This window comes from Homo sapiens, chromosome 13, assembly GCF_000001405.40.
Source record: "Homo sapiens chromosome 13, GRCh38.p14 Primary Assembly".
In the NCBI taxonomy this organism is placed as follows: domain Eukaryota; kingdom Metazoa; phylum Chordata; class Mammalia; order Primates; family Hominidae; genus Homo; species Homo sapiens.
In genome coordinates, this window is record NC_000013.11 from 90,284,255 (window position 1) to 90,306,855 (window position 22,601).

Sequence of the window (22,601 nt, forward strand, 5' to 3'; positions counted from 1 at the left end):
AAAACATGGATTTAAAACATCAGAATTGTTTTCTTTTACAAATTCAGTGAGAGTGGGCAGAGAAGGAAAAAGGCCAGGTAGGGAGAGACATTTTTTTTGGAGATGGAGTTTCACTCTTTGTTGCCCAGGCTGGAGTGCAGTGGTGCAATCTCGACTCACTGCAACCTCTGACTCCCGGGTTCAAGCGATTCGCCTGTCTTAGCCTCCCGAGTAGCTGGGATTAGAGGCGCCCACCAGCATGCCAGCTAATTTTTGTATTTTTAGTAGAGACGCGGTTTCACCATGTTGGCCAGGCTAGTCTCGAACTCCTGACTTCAGTGATCTGCCCGCCTCGGTCTCCCAAAATGCTGGCATTACAGGCGTGAGCCACCGCGCACGGCTGGGAGAGACATTTTACAATAAACTTCATTATCTTTTTTTCTTTTGTTTGAGACCGAGTCTTCTCTCTGTCACCCAGGCTGGAGTATAGTGGCATTGTCTCAGTTCACTGCAACCTCGGTCTCCCAGGTTTAAGCGATTCTCCTGCCTTAACCTCCTGAGTAGCAGGACTATAGTAGGCCCAGCTAATTTTGTTTCTTTTTGTATTTTTAGTAGAGATGGGGTTTTACCCTATTGGCCAGGCTGGTCTCAAACTCCTGGCCTCAAGTGATCCGCCTGCCTCGGCCTGCCAACATGCTGGGATTACAGATGTGAGCCACTACACCTGGTCAAACATCATTACCTTTAAAATTTTTGTTTTACAAAGAGGAAGAAAAGAAATCTTTTAAAAATGTGTATTCCTCATGGGTGCTTTACATAATTTTTTTTTTTTTTTTTTTTTTTTTTTTTTGAGACGGAGTCTCCTCTGTCACCCAGGCTGGAGTGCAGTGGCGCGACCTCGGCTCCCTGCAAGTTCCGCCTCCCGGGTTCACGCCGTTCTCCTGCCTCAGCCTCTCCGAGTAGCTGGGACTACAGGAGCCCGCCACCACGCCTGGCTAATTTTTTGTATTTTTAATAGAGACGGGGTTTCACTGGGGTCTTGATCTCCTGACCTCATGATCCGCCTGCCTCGGCCTCCCAAAGTGCTGGGATTACAAGCGTGAGCCACCGCGCCCGGCCACATACATTATTTTAATTAATTTTTAGGACAGGTAAAATGCCTTCTAAACAATTGTTACCATTTTATTAATGTTATAGAAAGAATAATCTGAGTTTCACAGAGGTGCAAATGACTAATTTGAGGTATCAAAGACGCTCATTTGAGAAAATCAGATATGAATCCTGATTTTGCTGAGTCTAGTGACCATAATGCCTTAAGCCCTAACTTGTTAGTATCATCTGCCTTATAGACACAAAGATAAATTACTTTTTGTAGTCTGATTGGGACACGGGTGTTTGCTAATTTTTAGGTCAAAATATGCCCCTAAGTAGCTTTCAAAAGGTATGAAATCATTTTCTTTATCAATTTAGTTTTATTCATTTGTTTCCTTAAGCCTTCTTTTCTAGATTTATATTTGGCTGAAGGCACACAGTTGAATTGAAATGTGATTTCTATAGTGTGATATTAGCTAATACTCAGCATTCTCAGGGAAAAAGCTCGTGGCACAAAAGTAAAAATAAACTATTTTTCGTATTATTAGCTTTGTCACAGTCACTACAGAAATATTAGAAAACACAGTGACCCAAAGAAAAAAATGAAAACATTCCTGATTCCACCATCCTGAGGAAACAGTCATAATTTTTCTATGGCCATCCAGAAACTAAACTCTAATTTTTAAAAATTCTTTCAAGAAGCATGTTTTGTTATGTACATTAGGCTTTTACATCAATAATAATTAAGGCCCATTAATTCTTGAAGTTGTCTATGATTGCATCTTCAGTCTTTTATGGCATACAAATCTAAAAATGTGCTTTTGTTAGTAAAATTAATAATATATGTTCCATTATAGTTTGAGAATTTCTGTTTTGCAAGCTGCTTTTTGATGCCTCATAGGGAAAAGGGACAGAAATTAGAGTAGCATATAGTGAATTAATAAAATGTTTGTTCCTTGTGTGTACACATGTATGTGTGTGTGTTTGTGTGTGTGTGTGTATATATATATATTCGTGTATATATATACATATATAAGTATTTAATAATCCTCTTTTATGCCTTGGTGTTAGTTCATTAGTTATTGGTCCAAGACAATGATAAAGAATGGTAATTTCAAAACCGAGTGAATAATTTTTAGTAGAATCCAATTTTCATAATTTTGCTACATATATATAATACTGTGTGAATGGAGACAGATGTTTTTCCACTATCCATGCATGTAAGAAATTATACATGAATATATGACATCATATTACATCTTCTTGCTTTTTCATAATATTTAGTTTTTCACTCATTTCAAATTCATTACAGTAGCTACAATTTTGATAGATTTAAATGAATTGCAAAATTAAAATGTTTAAAAGTTGAAATACTTGCATATAATGTAGACAATTTTGATAAGAAATTTTCAGAATTTGGGGAAATATAACTATAGTTACAAAAAGTTTATATATTAATGCTAAAATTCTATTTTTTCTGTAAAGATTTTGTAAGATGCTACTAGTTTTTTTCTATTAAAATTAGTTTTGGCTTTCATAGAAGTCCTTTCATATGAACAATAAAAAATTCTAGAAAATTAATAATAAGATTCATCAAAATTGCTTTTCACGTAACTTTATTAGAATGTATCTATTAAGTGAAGGGATGTATATAAATATTATAAAAATACTACCCTTACATAGGTGTTTATTTTACAGCTACAGAAGTATATGTCACAGTAATAACTGTGAGAAAACATTAAAACATTTTAAATGGCCTGTTTTCAACACATGATAAATCTCAGTACTGGCAGCCAGCCTGCAAATGTAGCAAACCGCACAGCTTATGCACCTAGAGGGTCACAATAAGTGAACAGAATGTAGAGGAGGGGTCAGCTCATAAAAGGGAAGAAATTTTCCTTATTGGGAAATTGAAACTTAAGTGGGAAAGGGGACCACAGTATAACCTTATAAGGGGGATAATGAAACTTAGGTGACATCCCAGAAGATTGTAGCCCCATAGTACTCAACCAGTGAGGAACTGGGGGAGGAACTTGCATGCTAGGAGATAAATTACCACTTGTGACTGTCCCAGGTGTGCCTTCCACCAGAGACCCAGTCTTGCAAGGCAGTTATTAAAAAGTCTCACTTTCGCTGTTGTCCGTACCTCTAAGTCCATTCTTTGGGTTTGGACACGTGAGTGTGTTTCTCACAAACCTGGGGGCCTGTCCGGGATCTCTGTGCCTGTGTGGAGTGGGACTCCAGCTGAGAGGGGAGACGCGTCCCACCCGATTTAGGTGGCCTACTCTGTCTGGGCAGTACAAGCTCCCCACAAAAGCCATAGATCAACTGGAGACTGTTACTCAGGAGACACTGGAGGTGACACAGGGAGAAAAGCAGGCACCGTGGCAACGAAGGCAACCTCTTGCATCAGCCAAGGTAGGAAAGTTGGACTGCAAGTACTGCCTTGGTGGTTGGGCATTTTCAGAGATCTCGGGATATGCAAGAAAATCCCAGTAAGTGGGGGTTGAGTACACACGGGTGTGCAAGAAACCTCCAGTAAGAGGGGCTGAGTACACAGGGAAAAACTTGGACACAGAGACTGGCTGAAAATGGGAGACAGGAACTTTAGGTCTAGGGGACAAAGGAAAGAGGGAGCCAAAGAGAGTCCCTCTGGCATTACCCTGGATAGTCCTTTGGGGAGAATGTTGCAGGTTTGGAAGGGGACAAGCCTTGAACCAGGGACAAGGAAAAGCAAAACATGATAAAGTATTGCTGTTTTATCTGGCCCAAAGACTCCATTTGTAAGCCTTCAGTCTTTTGGTCTAAGTTTGGCTCAGATGACGATTGGGCATGCCAAGCTTTAATTCTCTATGTGAATACCAAAACCCCATCCTCACAAGAAGACATAGGTTCCGCTCTCTGCTGGATCAAGGAATTAGCCCCCGTGTTCCCCCTCAAAGAAGAAAGAAAAGAGAAACTGGGAAAGGGAGAAATGAAACAGGGGAGGAAGAGAGGGTGAAATAGAAGAAGAAAATGATCGAGAAAGAGACTGGAAATGACAGAGATCAAAGAGAGATGCAGAAGGTGAGACGGGGAGGAAAATATTGTAAAAGGAAGAAAGAGTACCAGAGGAATTGAGAGTATATGGAGAGTGTGACAGGGCTGGGGGAAAGTTCTAGAGGCTCAAGCAACAAGGAGGTGCAAGGAAAGGGTGCAGTGTGGCCACTGAGGAGGGACAGAGCCTGGGAACTGGGGGAAGCAAGTGAGAAAGGGATGTGGAGGGGAGTTTAGGATCAAGCTGTTTGAGGAGTAGTGGTTTGCCTACAGCAAAGACTAGATGACTGTTTGTCAGGAGGCGGTAGAAAGAATTCAGGTTATAGAAGGGTAAATGGATAAGATGACCATTAAGATTTTGTTGTTGGACCGGGCACGGTGGCTCACACCTGTAATCCCAGCACTTTGGGAGGCCTAGGCGGGCGGATCACGAGGTCAGATCAAGACCATCCTGGCCAACATGGTGAAACCTCGTCTCTACTAAAAATACAAAAAGTATCTGGATGTGGTGGCACGTGCCTGTAGTCCCAGCTACTCGGGAGGCTGAGGCAGGAGAATCGCTTGAACCCGGGAGGTGAAGGTCGCAGTGAGCCAAGATTGAGCCACTGCACTCCATTCTGGAGATAGAGACTCAAAACTTTTTTTAAAAAAAGGTTTTGTTGTTGATTTACTGACAGGCTGTAAGTCCAGCAGGTGCCTCTGTTGGTAAAGCCGCAAAAGGGCTGATGGGGCTACTTGAGGAAGAACGGAAAGAAACTGCAAAAGATTGATGGATGGAATAAAAAACTGATTGAGGAATTCCTGAGAGAAGCTCATGTCTTTGTAAGGAGAGAGGAAGAGAAGCAGAAACAAAAAGCGAAAATCATGGTTTCCACTGTGGAAAAGGTAGTCAGAAAAAGGTTAGATCAAGATCCCACTGGAAGGAGACAAGGGAGTGGTGGATTTTGACACAGAGAAAGAAGGGAGATGCAGGGAAAAGTCCATGAGTATGTTTGAAATACTTGTTTCTTGGTGCCGTAAAGAAATAGCACTTGAACATAAATAATTTATTTAGTAAGGCCATTTTTACTTCCTGCAGAAAGGGTACACTTGCCAGCAGTTTTGCCATGAGAGCACACTGAACAAAAGAGACAGGGTCATTTAAAACCTGATGCATCCACCCTACTGCTGTGTCCGGTTTCCATTGGCTGGAACGGGACCTCACATTCCGTATTTGTACTGATTGGCTAGCAACTTAGAACTTTTTAAAAGAGGAAAAGGTAGAGGAGAACAAAGGAAGGAGGAAGTAACTTGCGGAATGCTGAGAAGGGTAAAAACACTTTTAAATAAGGAAGAGGAACAGGCTATGACCTAATGCTTGCTTGGACCAGTATAAACATACCAGGGCAAATATTTAGGCTAAATTGTGGGAGCTAAGAACATAAAGTACATTGATTTCTTTATTACGGCTAGCAGATATTTAAGAATGTTAGCACAGGTCTTTGAATAAATTTTGCTTCTAAGAGAAGTTACTATTTATTCGTAATTAGACGGGGAGGAAAGTCTTTGAAGAGCAACCTCTACTTTACTTTTTATAAGTGGATGTTACCAGTGTGGAAAGCGAGGGCATTTTAAGAGAGAATGTCCTGAATGAAAAAAAGAAGAAAAGGTGATCCCCCTCATGACCCTTAATGAAGACTAGGGGGGTTCAGGGGTTCCTCCTGAGTAGGTCCCACCAGGAACCCTTGATAAATTTGAAGGTAGGACCAGAGGCAGAAGAAATGACATATTTGGTTAATGCTGGGGAGGCTCGCTCCTCCCTAATTCACCAACCAAGGGTTACAGAATTCTCTAGGAAAAATTGACAGTATGAGGGGTGAAAGGGGAGGGATTTCCAGTTCTGATAGTCAAGACAATGTTACTTAGATTGGGATGAAAACAAATTGACGGGCCATTCTTATATGTTCATGAAGCAGGAACTAACCTCCTAGGTAGAGACTGAGTGTGAGATTGGGTTTAGGATAAGGAATAGAGGAAGGACAAATAAAAGTAAAGATGAGCCTCCTAACAGAGGAGGAGGAAAGAAAAAATTAATCCCCCTGTGTGGGTTGGGGACGGCAACAGGAGAGGGTTAAAAATCACACCCTTATAGATTGAACTAAAGCAATCAGTAAAAGTAGTTTGCAGAAAAGAATATCCCATTTCCATGAAGGGAGAAAAGATTTCCAACCAGAAATAGAGGGTTTGATTAAAAATGGACTATTAGAACCTTGCATGTCACCATACAACACTCCTTTGGGTTGCTTATCTGGAGGGCAGAGTTTCTGTGTCTGTTCCCCGACATCTTCTTGCAGCTGTAGGCATCCGCCCAAGTCCTCTCTTAGCTTCCCTACCTTAGTGTGCCTAAAGGGAAACGAATGTGCTTATTAAGGCCTTACTTTTACTGGAGCACATCTTATGAGTGTGAAGTTGGTGATTACCCAAGAGTCTTTCTCCCACCCCTCCTTCTGTGCTTAAGCTGTTTATCTGTGATTTACAGCCTGAACTTTCAGGCTGCCCTTTGTTAGAAGAGAAGTGATTTCTTTGAACTGCATGAAGTTAGAAAGGAAGCTACCTCAAGGGTGTTAAGGGAAATTATGGAAGGTTTACAAATTAGTTGGGATTATCACACCCCTTGGTATCCCCCTTCCTCTGGAAAGGTAGAAAGAATAAATCAACTCTCATAAAGCATATCACCAATCTAATCTTAGAAACTAAGATGCCTTGGGATTGTCCTTCTATGGGTTATGATATGGACTCCCATATTTGGGCAGGGCTACAGATCTTCTTACTACGGAAACCAAGAACAAATTATTAAGAAATTGTATACTGACCATATCCTCCACCCTGTCATCCCTCAGGTTAAAAGGACTTCTGACTCAAACTCCACTTCTAGAGTTCAGGTTCAGCACTTCCAGCCCGGCGACTTGGTGCTGATTAAGACTTGGGAAGAAGACAAGCTCCACCCAAACTGGGAAGGTCCCTACCAAGCGCTCCTGACCACTGAGACAGCTGTGTGAACAGTGGAACGGGGGTGAGCTCAGTATACTTGAGTCAAGGGACTGGTAAGAGAAACCCTGGAAAGGAGGGGAAAAGACCAGTGGAAAGTGCACAGGTCACCTGAGGAACCCTTGAAGTTAACTCTGAGAAAAATCTAAAAAGAAAACATGGGCTGGCCCCATTTATGGAAGTTAATATGGCTGGGATGGGCTACTATACAAAGAGCAGAAGGTAAGAATGGAAACTGGCAGGGGACTCCTCCCTACCTAGTCAGGTTGGTGATTAATGTGACCAAGATGGTAGCACACCAGATTGTAAGATTTGGTGCCGCCCAGGTGTGGTGGTTCATGCCTGGAATCCCAGCACTTTGGGAGGCCAAGGTGAGCAGATCATGAGGCCCAGAGATCAAAACCATCCTGACTAACACGGTGAAACCCTGTCTCTACTAAAAATGCAAAAAATTAGCCGGGTGTGGTGGCACGTGCATGTAGTCCCAGCTACTTGGGAGGCTGAGGCAGGAGAATCGCTTGAACCCAGGAGGTGGAGGTTTCAGTGAGGCGCGATCATGCCACTGCACTCCAGCCTGGGCGACAGAGCGACACTCTGTCTCAAGAAAAAAAAAAGAAGATTTGATGCATTCCAGGTTTTACCTTCTGGGAATGTAGAAAATCAGAGACAGCTCTCGTAGGCAGATAAATATTTTTGCCCTGAGCCAAATGTAGGTTACAGTAAGGGCATCACTGTGCTCCAGATGGAATGATGTATGGTGGACTACCCAGTTTAAGGGCTGGACAGTAAACGTGAAGTGGGTAACTCTGAGCTGGAGACCCTTGAAGAATAAACTACATCTGTCCAAGTGTTCCCTGCCAAATAACTGCCAGAATTTAGAATGCAATCCTATACTCATCACCATTGACAATCCACCCATTTCAGACCAAGAACCAAAAGTAGCATCTCAGGTATATGGGTTAGGGGCAGACATCACAGGAAAAGACCCTCTAGGTGATTTGTTCTCAAACTAATCAAGAACTCAGCCTCCTATTTGCCTGGGACTACTCCAACTCCAGGCCCTAATAAACACTTAATCTACCAAATAATAACCTTAAAAAGGTAAAAATAATTGAGATAAAGGATTTAAGGCAAACCTTAAAAATTGAAACAAGGTATGGGGATGTGAATGTCTGGGTTGAATGGATCAAATTTTCGGTACAAGCTCTCAACAAGAGTAACTGCTACATGTGTGCTGCGGGACAACCTCAGGCAGAGGCGGTTCCATTTCCCCTAGGATGGAATCCCAATCCTAAAGGAACACACTGCATGTTGGCTCTATACCAGAACAAGGATGAATGGGGAAATGAGACTTGTAAGAGTCTGTCATTGTTCTTTCTGCATTGCAAAGTCTGGATCCCAGAACAATCCTTTTGTTCTCTATAGGGACTATGAACCACTCCTCTTGCCTCTCTAGGCAGGGGGCAGAGTTCAATAAGCCCATGGGAGAAATCTCAACTTGTACCCACATTCGAAACGTCACTGGTGAGTCAAGCAATGGCAATTACAAGCTCTCCATATACCCCAGGCTGATGTCTGGTGGTACTGTGGGAAAGGGAGCTGCTGTAACCTGTTACTGTCCAATTGGACCAGGACTTGTCTGTAGTCCAATTGGCCATTCCCTTAACCCTGGCATTCCACAAGATACATGAAAATACACATGGCCACTGAAACCGGAGAGATTTAATAAATTATTGTGATCCCAATCTATATGTTGACTCGATAGGAGTCCCTAGGTGGGTACCTAATGAATTTAAGGCCTGAAACCAAATAGCTGCTGGGTTTGAGTCAGCACTCTTCTGGTGGTCGACTATTAATAAGGATGTGGATTGGATTAACTACATCTATTATAATCAACAGAGATTCATCAGTTATACTCTGGACACCCTCGAAGGGGTGGCTAGCCAGCTAGATGCCACCAGCTGAATGGCCTGGGAAAACAGGCTTGCACTAGACATACTATCAGAAAAAGGAGGCCTATATGTTATGCTGGGTGAGAAGTGTTGTACTTTTATTCCCAACAATACTGCCCCAGATGGGACCATCAGAAAAGCTTTACAAGGACTGACAACTCTAGCCAATGAAATGACACAAAATGCTGGAATTGATGACCCATTTACGGGTTGGCCAGAAGGTTGGTTTGGAAAATGGAAAGGCGTGGTAGCTTCAGTTCTTACATCTCTCATAATTGTGGCAGGAGTCCTAACAGCAGTGGGATGTTATATTATCCCTTGTGTGAGGAGACTAGCACAGAGATTAATTGAAATAGCTATTAATAAACAAACGCCCATGAGTTACTGACAGAATAACCTGCTACCATCTGAAATCAAATTAAACTCAGTCTCCTATGAGGAAGAAAGTAAAAAACTTCTAGAGCAATTCGAGGACCAAAAGGGTTTAGATGAAAATAAGACCAAAAGAAGTAAATAGAAAAGAGGAGGGAATTTGTGAGAAAACATTTTAAATGGTCCACTTCAAGGCATGGTAAATTTAAGTACTGGCAGCCAGCCTGCAAATGTAACAAATCACAGGGCTCATGCACCTAGGTCACAGTAAGTGAACAGAATGTAGAGGAGGAGTCAGCTCACAAAAGGGAAGAAAGCTTCATCATTGGGAAATCGAAACTTAAGCAGAAGTGGACTTGGGTATAACTTTCTAAGGGGGATAATGAAACTTAGGCGATGTCTGGGAAGATTGTAACCCCATAGTACTCGATCAATGAGGAACTCGGGGAGGGACTTGTGTGCTAGGAGATATATTACTCATTGTGACTGCCCTGGGTGTGCCCGCCCACCAGACACTGCTCTTGCAAGACCATTATTAAAAAGTCTCACTTTTGCTGTTCTTTGTGCCTTTAAGTCCATTCTTGGTGTTTGGACGGGTAATTGTGTTTCTCATATAACTAAAATGGCTATAATTTTAGACTTATAGTATCTCAGCTGTCTAAGGAAATATAATTTACCCTCATCAGTTTACAAATGAGAGAAAAAATAGATAAAAATAATTTCCGTAGAAAAAAGTAGCTTGCTTTCAAAGTCACTTGGAGAGATTAAATTGATGTTATAGATACAGATAAATAGATGATAGACAGATAGACCTATCTTATAAAATCTACATCTTTTTTATTCTTTTTGTATGTCGTATGAGGATAAACTGAATTATTTCGACTAGTTAAATTTGATTTAAGGGGCAATAAAAATCTATTTAATGAATCTACTTGTATTATTTAGAAAATATCCCTCTGATCTAATGCTGTACGAAAAAATGCAGTTAAGGTGCTGGTTCATTTTGATACATGTCCCTGGTAATTCTTTAGAAAAGGATACAAAGAACAGCTAAGTAGCATTACGTATTTTATTTATCTATTAATTTCTATCACTTTGTTTTATATATATCCATTAATTATGGTATATTAGAAAATGTCAAAATAAACACTGTAAATATCTCAATGTATACTTTTCATAAAATTATGCATTTGAGATTTCACAGATGAGAACAATACTATAAATCATACAACTTCCATCTTTGATATTGTTCTATTCTGTCAGTCTTAAAGGTGAATAATAATAATACATTCTGTTGATGTTTTCATGCTAAATTACTTTCAGCATACCCCTAAGTATTTACAAATGTTAAATTATGAAACTATTTTATATTTAAAACTTCTAGGTTTAAAGCATCAATTTTGCTTTAACATAAGCGATTTTCTTCTATTTTGTCAGAAAGAAAATTTAAGAGAATGATCTGCCTTACAGATTCAAAAATTTTTTCATTGAATTCAAATGAATCTTCTTCCACAATCTGAAATTTGAATTCTTTAATACATTTTACTGTGTTACTTGCAAAATATCCTTGGCTTAAGAAAAAGCTACTGAATGTTTAGTCCGTAAACAAGCAAGTGTATATTTTGTTTAAATATTTAAAACTAACTTATGTATTAATCATAAAATAAGGACAGAGGTGCAGTTTCATTACATGCTTGAAAAAACACTGATCATTTAGTTCAAGAAAATTTACTTTTAAATTGTATTTTTCTTTATGCAATTCAAATAAATGATCCTCTTAAATTTAACAAAAATATTTATATATATTCTTAAAATCTACATTAAGAAAACAAGAAATCATTCCTATTTGATTCTGCAGCTATTGAACTGTAAAGTACAAATAACAAACTTATTATTACACTTGAGTTTGTTTTGGAGAACTACTAAAATGGAGTGAAGAGTATTGGTAAGGGAATAATGTGTAACTACCAAATGTAGCATAGAATATTTAGGTTGTAAATAGAGGAATATAAATGATAGGTTATCATGGTTCTATTCAATTTATTCTTATCTCAAGAAAACTTGGTGTATAATTTCAAACTCTATACATTTACACAATTTATTACCTATGGTTTTAGTCCAGAAAACAGACTACATTCTCTTAAATTATGAGAAATTTTGTCCAAGAAGTGTTAAGTATAGAGTACTGGTTTTTTACAGTTAGATGAACTAAATAAAGATTTATTTTTATGTGTACTGAGGCTAAAAACTGTGACTGGATGAAATGGTTACTTTCCTAGTGTAAAATTTTATTGCTCTGATTAACATTCTTTCTTGTTTTTATTATAAAGGCATAAGATAAGAGAAGGGGCATTTATTATGCACCAAATCTTTTCCAGATACTGTGCCAGATATTTTTATAAAACCTTCTCAATTCTTATTAATAGAAACCATCAATCATTACATAAGTATTGTATGTTCACTTCTATTTATTTTGCTCAATATAATATAGCTAACAGGAAACATAGTAGCTTCACATATTTACTACTTAACATATATTCTGTCTAATATAACTGAGTATGTTTTGGAAGATATTGATACAATGTAGAAAAAAATATAAACATTGTAGAAAATAAATCTGAATAGAGTAAATTAATAAAAAGTATAACACCAAATTGTAATGTATTATTACTAAAGAATCATAAATGCAATAGGCAAAATATAAAAAGTCCTAAAATCAAGTAGAATCACTGCTATCAACTTTGTCATAAACTTCACACTTTGCTCACAGGAAGTCATTTTTAACACCTGGCGTTGCTTTTTAAAATTTGTATTGTTTGACAGATCTTTTTGAATAATAGATTCTAGCCCTAGGTATATTCCTACTTTTAATTTAAATATAACGATAAAAGCATGAAATACTTCTTTGTAGAAAATACTCTGCTGCTTTATTTTAGTTGTACATTATCATCAGAAGAACAAGCCATGACTGGCCTTGCAAAGTCTTCACTATAAAGGATCTCATCTAGAGATATGAACTTCACTTTAAGAGAAGAATAGCTCCCACAGAATTGAAAGATATGTGCCCCCTTTGATGTAAGCCAAGAACTTCTTTTTTTCTTCTTTTTTTAATGAGGACATTAAAAATAGAGACATAGTATGTAATCAGCAGCCCACAAATTTCTACCAAATTTTTACTAATATAGTTAGGACAACTCAGAGAAATGCTCTCTCATGAAACACATTAAAGAATGAGACTAGGCAGGCACAGTGGTTCATGCCTGTAATCCCAGCACTTTGGGAGCCCAAGGCGGGCTGATCACTTGTGGTCAGGGCTTCAAAACCAGCCTGGCCTGGCCAACATGATGAAACTCCGTCTCTACTAAAAATACAAAAAGTAGCTGGACATAGTAGGGCTTGCCTGTAATCCCAGCTCCTCAGGGGGCTGAGGCAGGATAATTGCTTGAACCCATAAGGTGGAGGTTGCAGTGAATGCAGATTGTGCCACTGCATTCCAGCCTGGGCGACAGAGCAAGACTCTGTCTAAAAAAAAAAAATAGAGAGAGAGTGAGACTAACAATAAATACAACTATTGCCATAATCTAAGGGCTTCCTGAGGTATAATGAGAAAGGCTTGAGCTATTATGAAAATTTAAAGTATTAGGTCACAAAATGTTGGCATTTGAAACATTAGCCACTTTCTATCCAGAAAGTTCATTACAAAGACATTTCAACACCAGTAAGGGGCTCAGTTCCTATGCCAGTCAGGGAACTCGAAAGGCAGTTCTTTCTTAAAACCATGCTGTCTGTTCAGTAGCCTGGTTCACCTCTCCCTCAACAGCTCTCCTTAGAAAACTGAGCTTTTTGTTTGAGGACCAATTCTAGAATGTACAATAGTGTCTGTTACTTAGCTTTGTAACACTAAGATTCAGTCCATCCTTTGGTCTTTCATGATCTCATGCCTAATTCTCCAGAGGAAAAAAAGAAAAATTAACAATAAATTTGTTATATATATAATTTGTTGTAAATATATATATAATTCACTATAAATATATATAATTTGATATACATATATATATGCATAACACAGAACCAAGCAAAGAACTGCTCTTTATGGACACAAAAATATCGCAATTTTGGAACTGCTCATTTGGTGAATGGATGTTCTCTATTACATTGCAGTGAATGCACTGGATAGTAATGTGGCATCCAGGGAACACATGTGTCAAACGAAAATAGCAACAGCACTATCGATGTGCACATCACAATGGTAATAGCATCCCACTGGCCTTTTAGTGCTGATGAGTGACACCAATCTTAGTGGTATGTTCACAGCAATTCTCAACAAAACATGACCACAGTTATCATAGTGGCTTGATGAAACACACACATAAGGGTTGTAATGCACGTTCACGGTGTTCTATGGGCAGCAAGTACAAGTAGAGCTGAATGTACTGTTTTAGGAATCTGCTTAGGAGATTTTTGGGGAAAGTAGTAGAATGGTCCTGGGTGTTTTAAAATAGTGAGTAGAAAAAAGAGACTGAGAAATACCATTCACCACCCTTTATGTGAGCTATCCTTCTCTTTTTTTCAACCTATTGTGCTGCTGAAACAGGAAAATATGCTATTGGTAGAAATATAAATTTAAGAACACAGAGGTCCTAGTGTGTGCAACTGGACCCTGCCGCATTATAATTAACCCGAGAGAGAGAGAGAGATGGCTCTCTCCTGCATAATTTCCTGAGGCTGATTCAGTTGATGAGCAAATACACCTTGACTATGAATTTGATTTCTTGAATATAACTAATGAATAAAGACTTAGAGGAAAAAGAGTGCCATGTGGTGATGGCTATCTTGGTCATTGCAGCTTGTCTGTGTTCTTCTTGTACAGTATATTAATGTGTGAATTGTCTTCCTTCCCCCTCCTTCCTTGACATCTAAGAGGAGCTTTTACTTTGCTTGCTTTGAGGTGAGAAAGATGTTCAACATTTTGTGATAAAAAATTATGAGACTGAAAAGATGGAGACAGAATCTGAGTTTGGGGAAGTGAGGAGGGTATAGGTGGGGCTAGCTTTATAACAAAGAAGATAAGGGGGAGCCTTTGAGTGAGAGGAGCTAAGAGAAGCGCTAGCAAGATATGCAAACAAGTTTCAAGACTTTATATGAGAGTGAGGTTTGAAGAGCTAGCTATTAAGGGTTAAATGATTTGGGAAGGTGGGGAAAAGACCTTCTCAAGTAATTGCTGTTAATTACCAAATTTATAACTTGCTTTTGGTTGCGATGCTAACACTCTCAAAAGACTGATTCTGTTCAGGCCCGTTACTCTATTTAAATGAGTTACCTGACCATCCAATGTTGCAGCACAGTCTAGGTCCAGGGTCTATAGCTGGGAGAGGGGAGATTTGATGCAATTATATTTCCAACTACTGGGAAAAGGAGAGAATTTTGCATATTTTAAGTGTGAAATTTTTCTGAATAAAAATATTTAAACAAAATTTAAAATATAATTTCAAAAAGACCATAAATCTTCATGCTGGTCATCCTTGTACTCTAAATTTCCATGTGCTGCTCTATGAGTCAGAGGAACAACAGCGACCATTAGGCAGGGCTAGACTCAATACAGTTGGGGCATGACTAGGGCGAATGTCTAGGCAAGGGGCTTCAGCTCTGAGGAACCAAACGGTAGTCCTGGGGTCAAGTTGCTCAGTCTCCTACAGGTGTGGGAGATGTGGCGGACACAAGGGCAATCCATGGAATCCCCATTTGCATAATAATAGATGACTGGCTGATCTCACCCCTCACCCTGGCTTCTATGTTTTTTGTTCCCAGATGGAAGAATTGTCTGAAGAGGATGAGTGATCACCTTCCAGGTGGAGGTAAGAACGCCAGAGCCAGTCCCCTAGAGAAGGGACTCATTAGCCTGATCACAGCCTACACAAGATCAAGTGAAACCACATGTCCACACACAACTCCTCCATAGATAGAGCATACTGCTAACATCACCACAATACAGAGAGAAGTGTGGTCACAACATGGGAAGGCCAAGCAGCCAACTTCATTTAAACATTTTTAATTGACAAATGAAAACTGTATATAGTTATACAATTGTACAACATGATGTTTTGAAATATGTGACATGTGCATAATTTCACATACCTTGTTTGTGGTGAGAACACTTATTTACTTTGTTAGCAATTTTGAAGTACACAATATATTGCTATTAACTATAGTTTCCACGATTACAACCATCTTTTCTATTAACAGTCTTCCTTTCTCAATAGTGATGAGCCCAGAAAGGACCCAATCAGATGCCAAGGAAAACCTAAAGCACAAAAGGAAAAAAAATGGCCATACTAGAAATTGAATCTCAGAGGAAATATGAAAATACACAAATGCAAAGTTCTATATACAAGTATCCCCAGAGATACTCCATGTTTAAGAAGAGGAGTTAGCGAATAAGAAATAAGACTTGTAAATAGATACCATATTTACTCTAATTAATAATTATTATTAAATAATAATTAATAATATTATTGTTATTATTGTTATTATTATTAAATAGAATAATGTAGAGACAGAATTGAAATATAGATATCATGGAATGATAGGCAAAAATATAAAGTATGTTAGAATACTATAAAACACAAAGGATCAATACAGAAGATTAATTTACATTTAAAATGCATTTCAAATAGAGGTGGCGCACATCAACACATTAATTCACACCCTTTCGTTTTCATTTTTTCAGGGAAGGGGTCTCATTATGTTGCCCAGGCTGGACTCAGTGACTCAAATGTCTGTGCTCAAGGGATCCTCCTGCCTCAGCATCTCAAGAAGCTATGACTACAGGTGCATGTCACCCATCCAGCTCAATCACACATCAGACCGCTAAAAATAAGGATACTAGTCTCAAAGCTAAATTTTATTGTTGTCAAAATTTTCAACATCAGTACTAAAAACCTAGAGGAATATAGATGAGCATTTAAAAAATTCTGTCCAGCTAATTCTCTCCAGTGTTCATTTAAATATCATGCAAAAAAGCTAGTTTTATAAAAGTAAAATCTGCATTCACGGTGGGGGGGAATGCAAGCTTAATGGAAAAAAAAACCCAAAATGAAGGAAATTATGTGCTACGAGATTGAAGAAACAATGGATCTCACCCAGCAGGGCTTTGAAAATAAATGTTGAGATCACATTTTACAACAGACTGGTACAATCAATCTAATAATCAATGGTTAATAATTAGCAGAATTAAGAGATTTTATGACATAAGAGATGTAGTAAAGAAAGATTTACACTTTTTGATTGACAATAGAAATGAAAAATTTTAGAAAAAAATATAGTCATGTAACTTATGGTCCAAATATGAATTAAACTAGAAGGTAACGTGACTTTATTCAGTTAATGTAGTATTCAAAAAGTGATTCCAATTAGTCTTGGGTGTTGGACCAACTTCCTTCAAAGGAGTAAGTTTTAGAGAAAGTAGATTTCATATCCCATACAAATTCAATAATATCCCTGTTTAAAAGGTTATATTTACATCACTGTATTATAATAGAAAGTGTTTATGACATTTTATTTTTCAGAGTCAACCAAAAACAGCATGAAATAATTATAGCTATATAAAGAAAGGTAAATGTTATAAATGTTGACATGGTAAAAGAAACAATGTAGTTGTCAAACTGAGAGGAAGAGGGAAGGAAATGTACAGAGAAATAGTTGTACACGTTTTAGAATTTCATCTAATGAGCAAAGATATATTATCTAAATCTGGTGGATCAAGATTACATTTGAACATAGTATTCAGATTTATAAGAGTGAAAAAAGTAAATAAAAAACAAAGATAAATCTAAAAAAAAAAAAGAAGGGAATGGGAAGGTAGAAAGACAAGATTGTGTAAATTACACACCTATCTTCTCTCTCACAGCAGAAAGTAAAACAATAGGGTTTATGTTGATAAATAGAATACATAAATGATAAATGTATACAAACATACTACTTACAATTACAGAGGTGACCATTAGAAGAAGTGAGAATAGAAACTGTCAAATCCAAGGAATAGAATAGGAGATTAAGAGAGGCTTTTTCAGTATTTTTTAATGCTTATATCAATTGCGGAACTTACAAATGAAAACGGGGAAGACAAGTATGAATCTAATCATAGATCCATAAGTAACTAAAATGAATAAATACTATATTGATACTTTAAGTGAATTTAGGTACTCTATCCTTTAAGCAATGAAATCTATTTTATGCATAGTGAACAGTCATTTTTAAAAACCTATAATGTTATTTTGTCATTGATAACTAAATCACCAGCTAATCACTAGCTACTGAAAGTTGCCATATAGGGTTAAATGGAAAATTGCATACTTCTTTAGACTAGAATTACATTTGTGAAAATACAGAACCATGTTGGACAAAGGTCCACAGAAGTGTGCATGGGAGAGTTAAACAGCATTACTGAGATGGCTACAGTCAGCAGGGGTGTTTGATTCTGGGACAAAGCAATTATACATGGAATAAATGTTTGCTGTATCTTGGGAAATACTTTCTAGGTATGAGTCAGTCTAGAAGTTGCTTTCTCTCTGACAAAACTAGGTCAGTCTTTATAACTCTGCTCCTAGCTTTGGAGCACAAAGATGAAATTGTTCTTTTGCGGTCAAAGGCAGTTGTGACAGGCATAATTTTATCAAATTTGGAACAGAAAAACATTCCTCTTTAAATTTCCAGATGGGATGAGATTGTGGAGCAGATAATAGTGGGAAAAAAGTATATAAACAGAACTTCAGAAATTCAGATAATGAAGAACCCATATATAGCACCAGATATTCTTATAACTATAGGCAAATAAATTGAGAAATCTCGGTAAAAAATAATTAACTTTGAAAAGGAAGTGATTTCTGATAAGGACATTGTTTTGAGACAAATACATGCTTCAAAATTTAGGATTAGGAAACAAAAGAGAAATATAAACATCAGCTGCAAATAGAACTGTGATGTGTCCTTTGATCACATTCAGAATTCCCAAGTGAGGCCCAAAGAGTTAACATAAGAATCACATTGCAATTAGACCTGGATATTAATTTTAGGCATAAATGGAAGTTTATAAATATATGCATATATATGTGTGTGTGAGAGAGTCTGCCTGTGTATGTATTCTGATACTAAATTATATCTTTTTCATTGCTTAGTGTTGATGCCGTCACTCTTAAGTGATTTCTACATACATATTTGATTTTATGAAAGTGAATTTCAAGTTAGTGAAATATATATGCTTATGGGTATAGAGAGTAAGAAAATAATTTAAATTGATATTTTAAGTGGATTCTATATATGAAGGTGTGCAGCAGCTTTTTTATTATTATTATACTTTAAGTTCTGGGATACATGTGCAGAACATGAAGGTTTGTTACACAGGTATTCACGTGCCATGGTGGTTTGCTGCACTCATCAACCCGTCATCTACATTATGTATTTCTCCTAATGCTATCCCTCCCCTAGCCCCCCACCCCCTGACATGCCCCGGTGGATGATATTCTCCTCTGTGTACATGTGTTCTCGTTGTTCAACTCCCACTTATCAGTGAGAACATGCGGTGTTTGGTTTTCTGTTCCTGTGTTAGTTTGCTGAGAATGATGGTTTCCAGCTTCATCCATATCCCTGCAAAGGACATGAACTCATCCTTTTTATGGCTGCAGAGTATTCCATCGTGTATACATGCCACATTTTCTTTATCCAGTCTATCATTGTGAACAGTGCTGCAATAAACATACATGTACATGTGTTTTTATAGTAGAATGATATATAATCATTTGGGTATACACCCAGTAATGGGATTGCTGGGTCAAATGGTATTTCTGGTTCTAGATCCTTGAGGAATTGCCACACTGTCTTCCACAATGGTTGAACTAATTTACACTCCCACCAACAGTGTAAAAGCGTTCCTCTTTCTCCACATTCTCTTCAGTATCTGTTGTTTCCTGACTGTTTAATGATCGTCATTCTAACTGAAGTGAGATGGTATCTTATTGTGGTTTTGATTTGCATTTCTCTAATGACCAGTGATGATGAGCTTTTTTTCATGTTTCCTGTCTGCATCAATGTCTTCTTTTGAGAAGTGCAGCAGCTTTTTCAGAATGGTGCCTGCGACAGGTAGAATAATATCCTTTAAAGATGTCAACATTTAATCCCCCAAACCTGAGAATATGTTACCTCAAATAACAAAAGGAATCTTGCACATAAAATTGAGGTGGCATACCTTAAAATAGGCAAAATATTCTGGGTTATCCAGATGGACCTAATGAGGTCCAATTCAGGCTTTTCCAAGTAGAAGAGGAAGACAGTAGCGTGGGGCAGAGCATGTGAGAGAAGAGACAGGAAAGATTCAAAGCATGAGAGAGATCCAGCCTTCTGGTGCTGGTTCCGAAGATGGAGCAAAGGGCCATGAGCTGAGAAGGGTGGGCAGCGTCTAAAATTTGAGAGCAAACCTCAGCTGACAGTGAACAAGGAAACAGAGACTTCAGTCCTGTAGTTGCAAGGAACTGAATTCTGCCAAAAATGCAGATAAGAAAACAAAAACAAAAAAACAGATTCTCCCCTACAGCTACCAGAAAGTAACTTTACCTTGCCAGCACCTAAATGTTAGCCCAGTAATACCTGTGCTGGGATTCTGAAATACAGAACTATAAGATAATGAATTTGTGTTATGTTAAGGTGTTTAAAATTTGTGATAATTTCTTATGACATTAATAGAAAACTAATAATCTCCAAACCATTAATTTACTATAATTATATTTCTTATTATTTGCTTACTCTAGGCTTATTATGTGAGCAGCACCAGCAAGGGACTTCCATATAAGTTGTACCTTTACAAAATTCTGTGTTTTGATGTTATTATGTCCATTTTACAGATAAGAAAACAAATCTAGAGAGGAAAAGTAACTTTCTAAAAGCAACACAACTAGTGAACTCCATGACTAGTACTCAAAAATAGGGCTTGAAATCAGATTGTTTGAAATCACTGTGACATATTTATATATTTATGTGCATGTATGCCCACACACACCTCCATATACCTACTGCATCTCCATAAATGCATTTTAAAATGTCTAAGTAAATAACATAATGCTTCATGGAACATGGATCAGCTATTTTATTACCTATTTGCATAGAAATTTACCTTGCAATAAATGTTTAAAGAAATGCAAATTTCCTTGCTTATTCCTTTAAACATATTTGCCCTTAAAAATTAGTAAACATTTTTACTGAGCTTAGAAGATTAAACATTTACTATATAAAATTTAAAGCTATCTCAAATTCAAAGTAATTTTAGTATGTAAATATGATAGGTGCATTTGATTATATGTAACATGACTCAAAATTAAATGAAGTTTGACATTCAGTAATAAACTGTGAATAAAAGTATTTATGGATCAAAAAGTCATACAAATAACAGAGGGAATTAAACAAACTTCACATGCACATACACTCAGTTTGGATCTTAAACAAATGTTGCATTAATATTTGTTACCTAATTTTTTTAAGTTTATATTTGATATGGTTAGGCTTTGTGACCCCACCCAAATCTTATCTTGAATTATAATCCCCGAAATCTTCAGGAGTTGAGGAAGGAGCCTGTTGGGAGATAACTGGATCATGGGGATGGTTTCCCTCATGCTGTTCTCATGACAGTGAGTTATCACAAGATCTGATGGTTTTATAAGTGTTTGGCAAGTTCTTCCTTCACTACTTTTCTCTCTCCTGCCACCATGTGAGAAGGTGTAAGCTTGCTTCCCCTTTGCCTTGTGCCGTGATTGTGAGTTTCCTGAGGCCTCCTCACCGAAGTGGAACTATGAGTCAATTAAAACTCTTTATTTTATAAATTACCCAGTCTTGGGCAGTATTTTTATAGCAGTGTGAGAATGGACCAATACAGTATTCCTATTATACAGCATCACTTCCATCATTCCCCACTTCCCCTCAAAGGAAACTATGGTATGACTTATGCTAGCAGGACTGTCCATGTAGTGAAGTCTTGAGAACCAGATTGGAAGCAAACACTTACTTCTTGATGTGGAGTGAAACATCATAGTGCAGGAGTGAACTGTGTCCTTCTGTGGGAACAGAGATGACTTCCAAACATGAGGACATAGGTTAGGAAGATGTAGTAAATAATTATTTTTTTAAAAGGACAAGATAAATAAATGCTAATCAGTTTGATAGGAAAGAGTGTGAATGAGATATTGCAATTTAGGTAGAGTAGTCAGAGAATGCACCAGAATGATGATGAAATAGTCATATCAAGAACAAGGCTGTAAGTCTCATATGTAAAGATAAAGATATGTAATCATCCTAATGCATAAATGGAAAATGTGGCTGGAAGTGAGTAAAAGAGTTAAGTAGGGAGGGTAACAAAAAGTTGATGTTAGGGACGAAGTAGGCAAAGACCAGACAGTAGAAACTTGTGAACCATGGTAAACAGTTTGGATTTTATTCTGAATTTAATAGGTAGTTATCAGAAAAGTTTTTTGTTTGTTTGTGTTTTGACACAGAGTCTCTCTCTGTCACCCAGCCTGGAGTGCAGTGGAGCGATCTCAGCTCACTGCAAACTCTGCCTCCTGGGTTCGAGGGATTCTCCTGCCTCAGCCTCCCAAGTAGCTGAAATTACAGGCACTTGCCACCATGCCCATCTAATTTTTGTATTTTCAGTAGAAACAGGGTTTCACCATGTTAGCCAGGCTGGTCTCAAACTCCTGACCTTAAGTTATCCACCCACCTTGGCCTCCCAAAGTACTGGGATTACAAGCATGAGCCTGGCTGGAAATTTTTTTTTTAATATGTATTTTATTTACATTATCTGATTATATTGGAAGATATATCTGACATTTTTAGAAGATGCAATATGGAGAGTAGTAGATCATAAGGAGTCCAGAACAGAAGTGGAAGACCTTCCCTGCTATTGCAGGGGTCAGGGCAGATGATGCTGGTTAGGTTAAAGGATGAAGATAGGACCTGCTAATGGATTACACAGTAGGTGTGAGAAAAAGAGGCAAATTAGGAATGACATTTTTTTAGCCTTGACTAATAAGCTGGATAGTGCCATTTGGTTATTTGAAATTTACTGTGTTTGGAAACAGACACTTAAAAGATATCCATAGTACT

At 37.9% G+C, this 22,601-nt stretch overlaps 1 long non-coding RNA gene across 1 annotated transcript; it reads left to right on the forward strand.

Annotated features, from left to right (window-relative positions):
• Window positions 1-6,986: 6,986 nt before the first annotated feature.
• LOC105370310 (uncharacterized) lies at window positions 6,987-19,224 on the forward strand. The gene is made up of 3 exons (XR_931636.2): window positions 6,987-7,159; window positions 15,267-15,313; window positions 16,186-19,224. It is a non-coding gene; the product is annotated as an uncharacterized LOC105370310 (long non-coding RNA).
• Window positions 19,225-22,601: the final 3,377 nt, after the last annotated feature.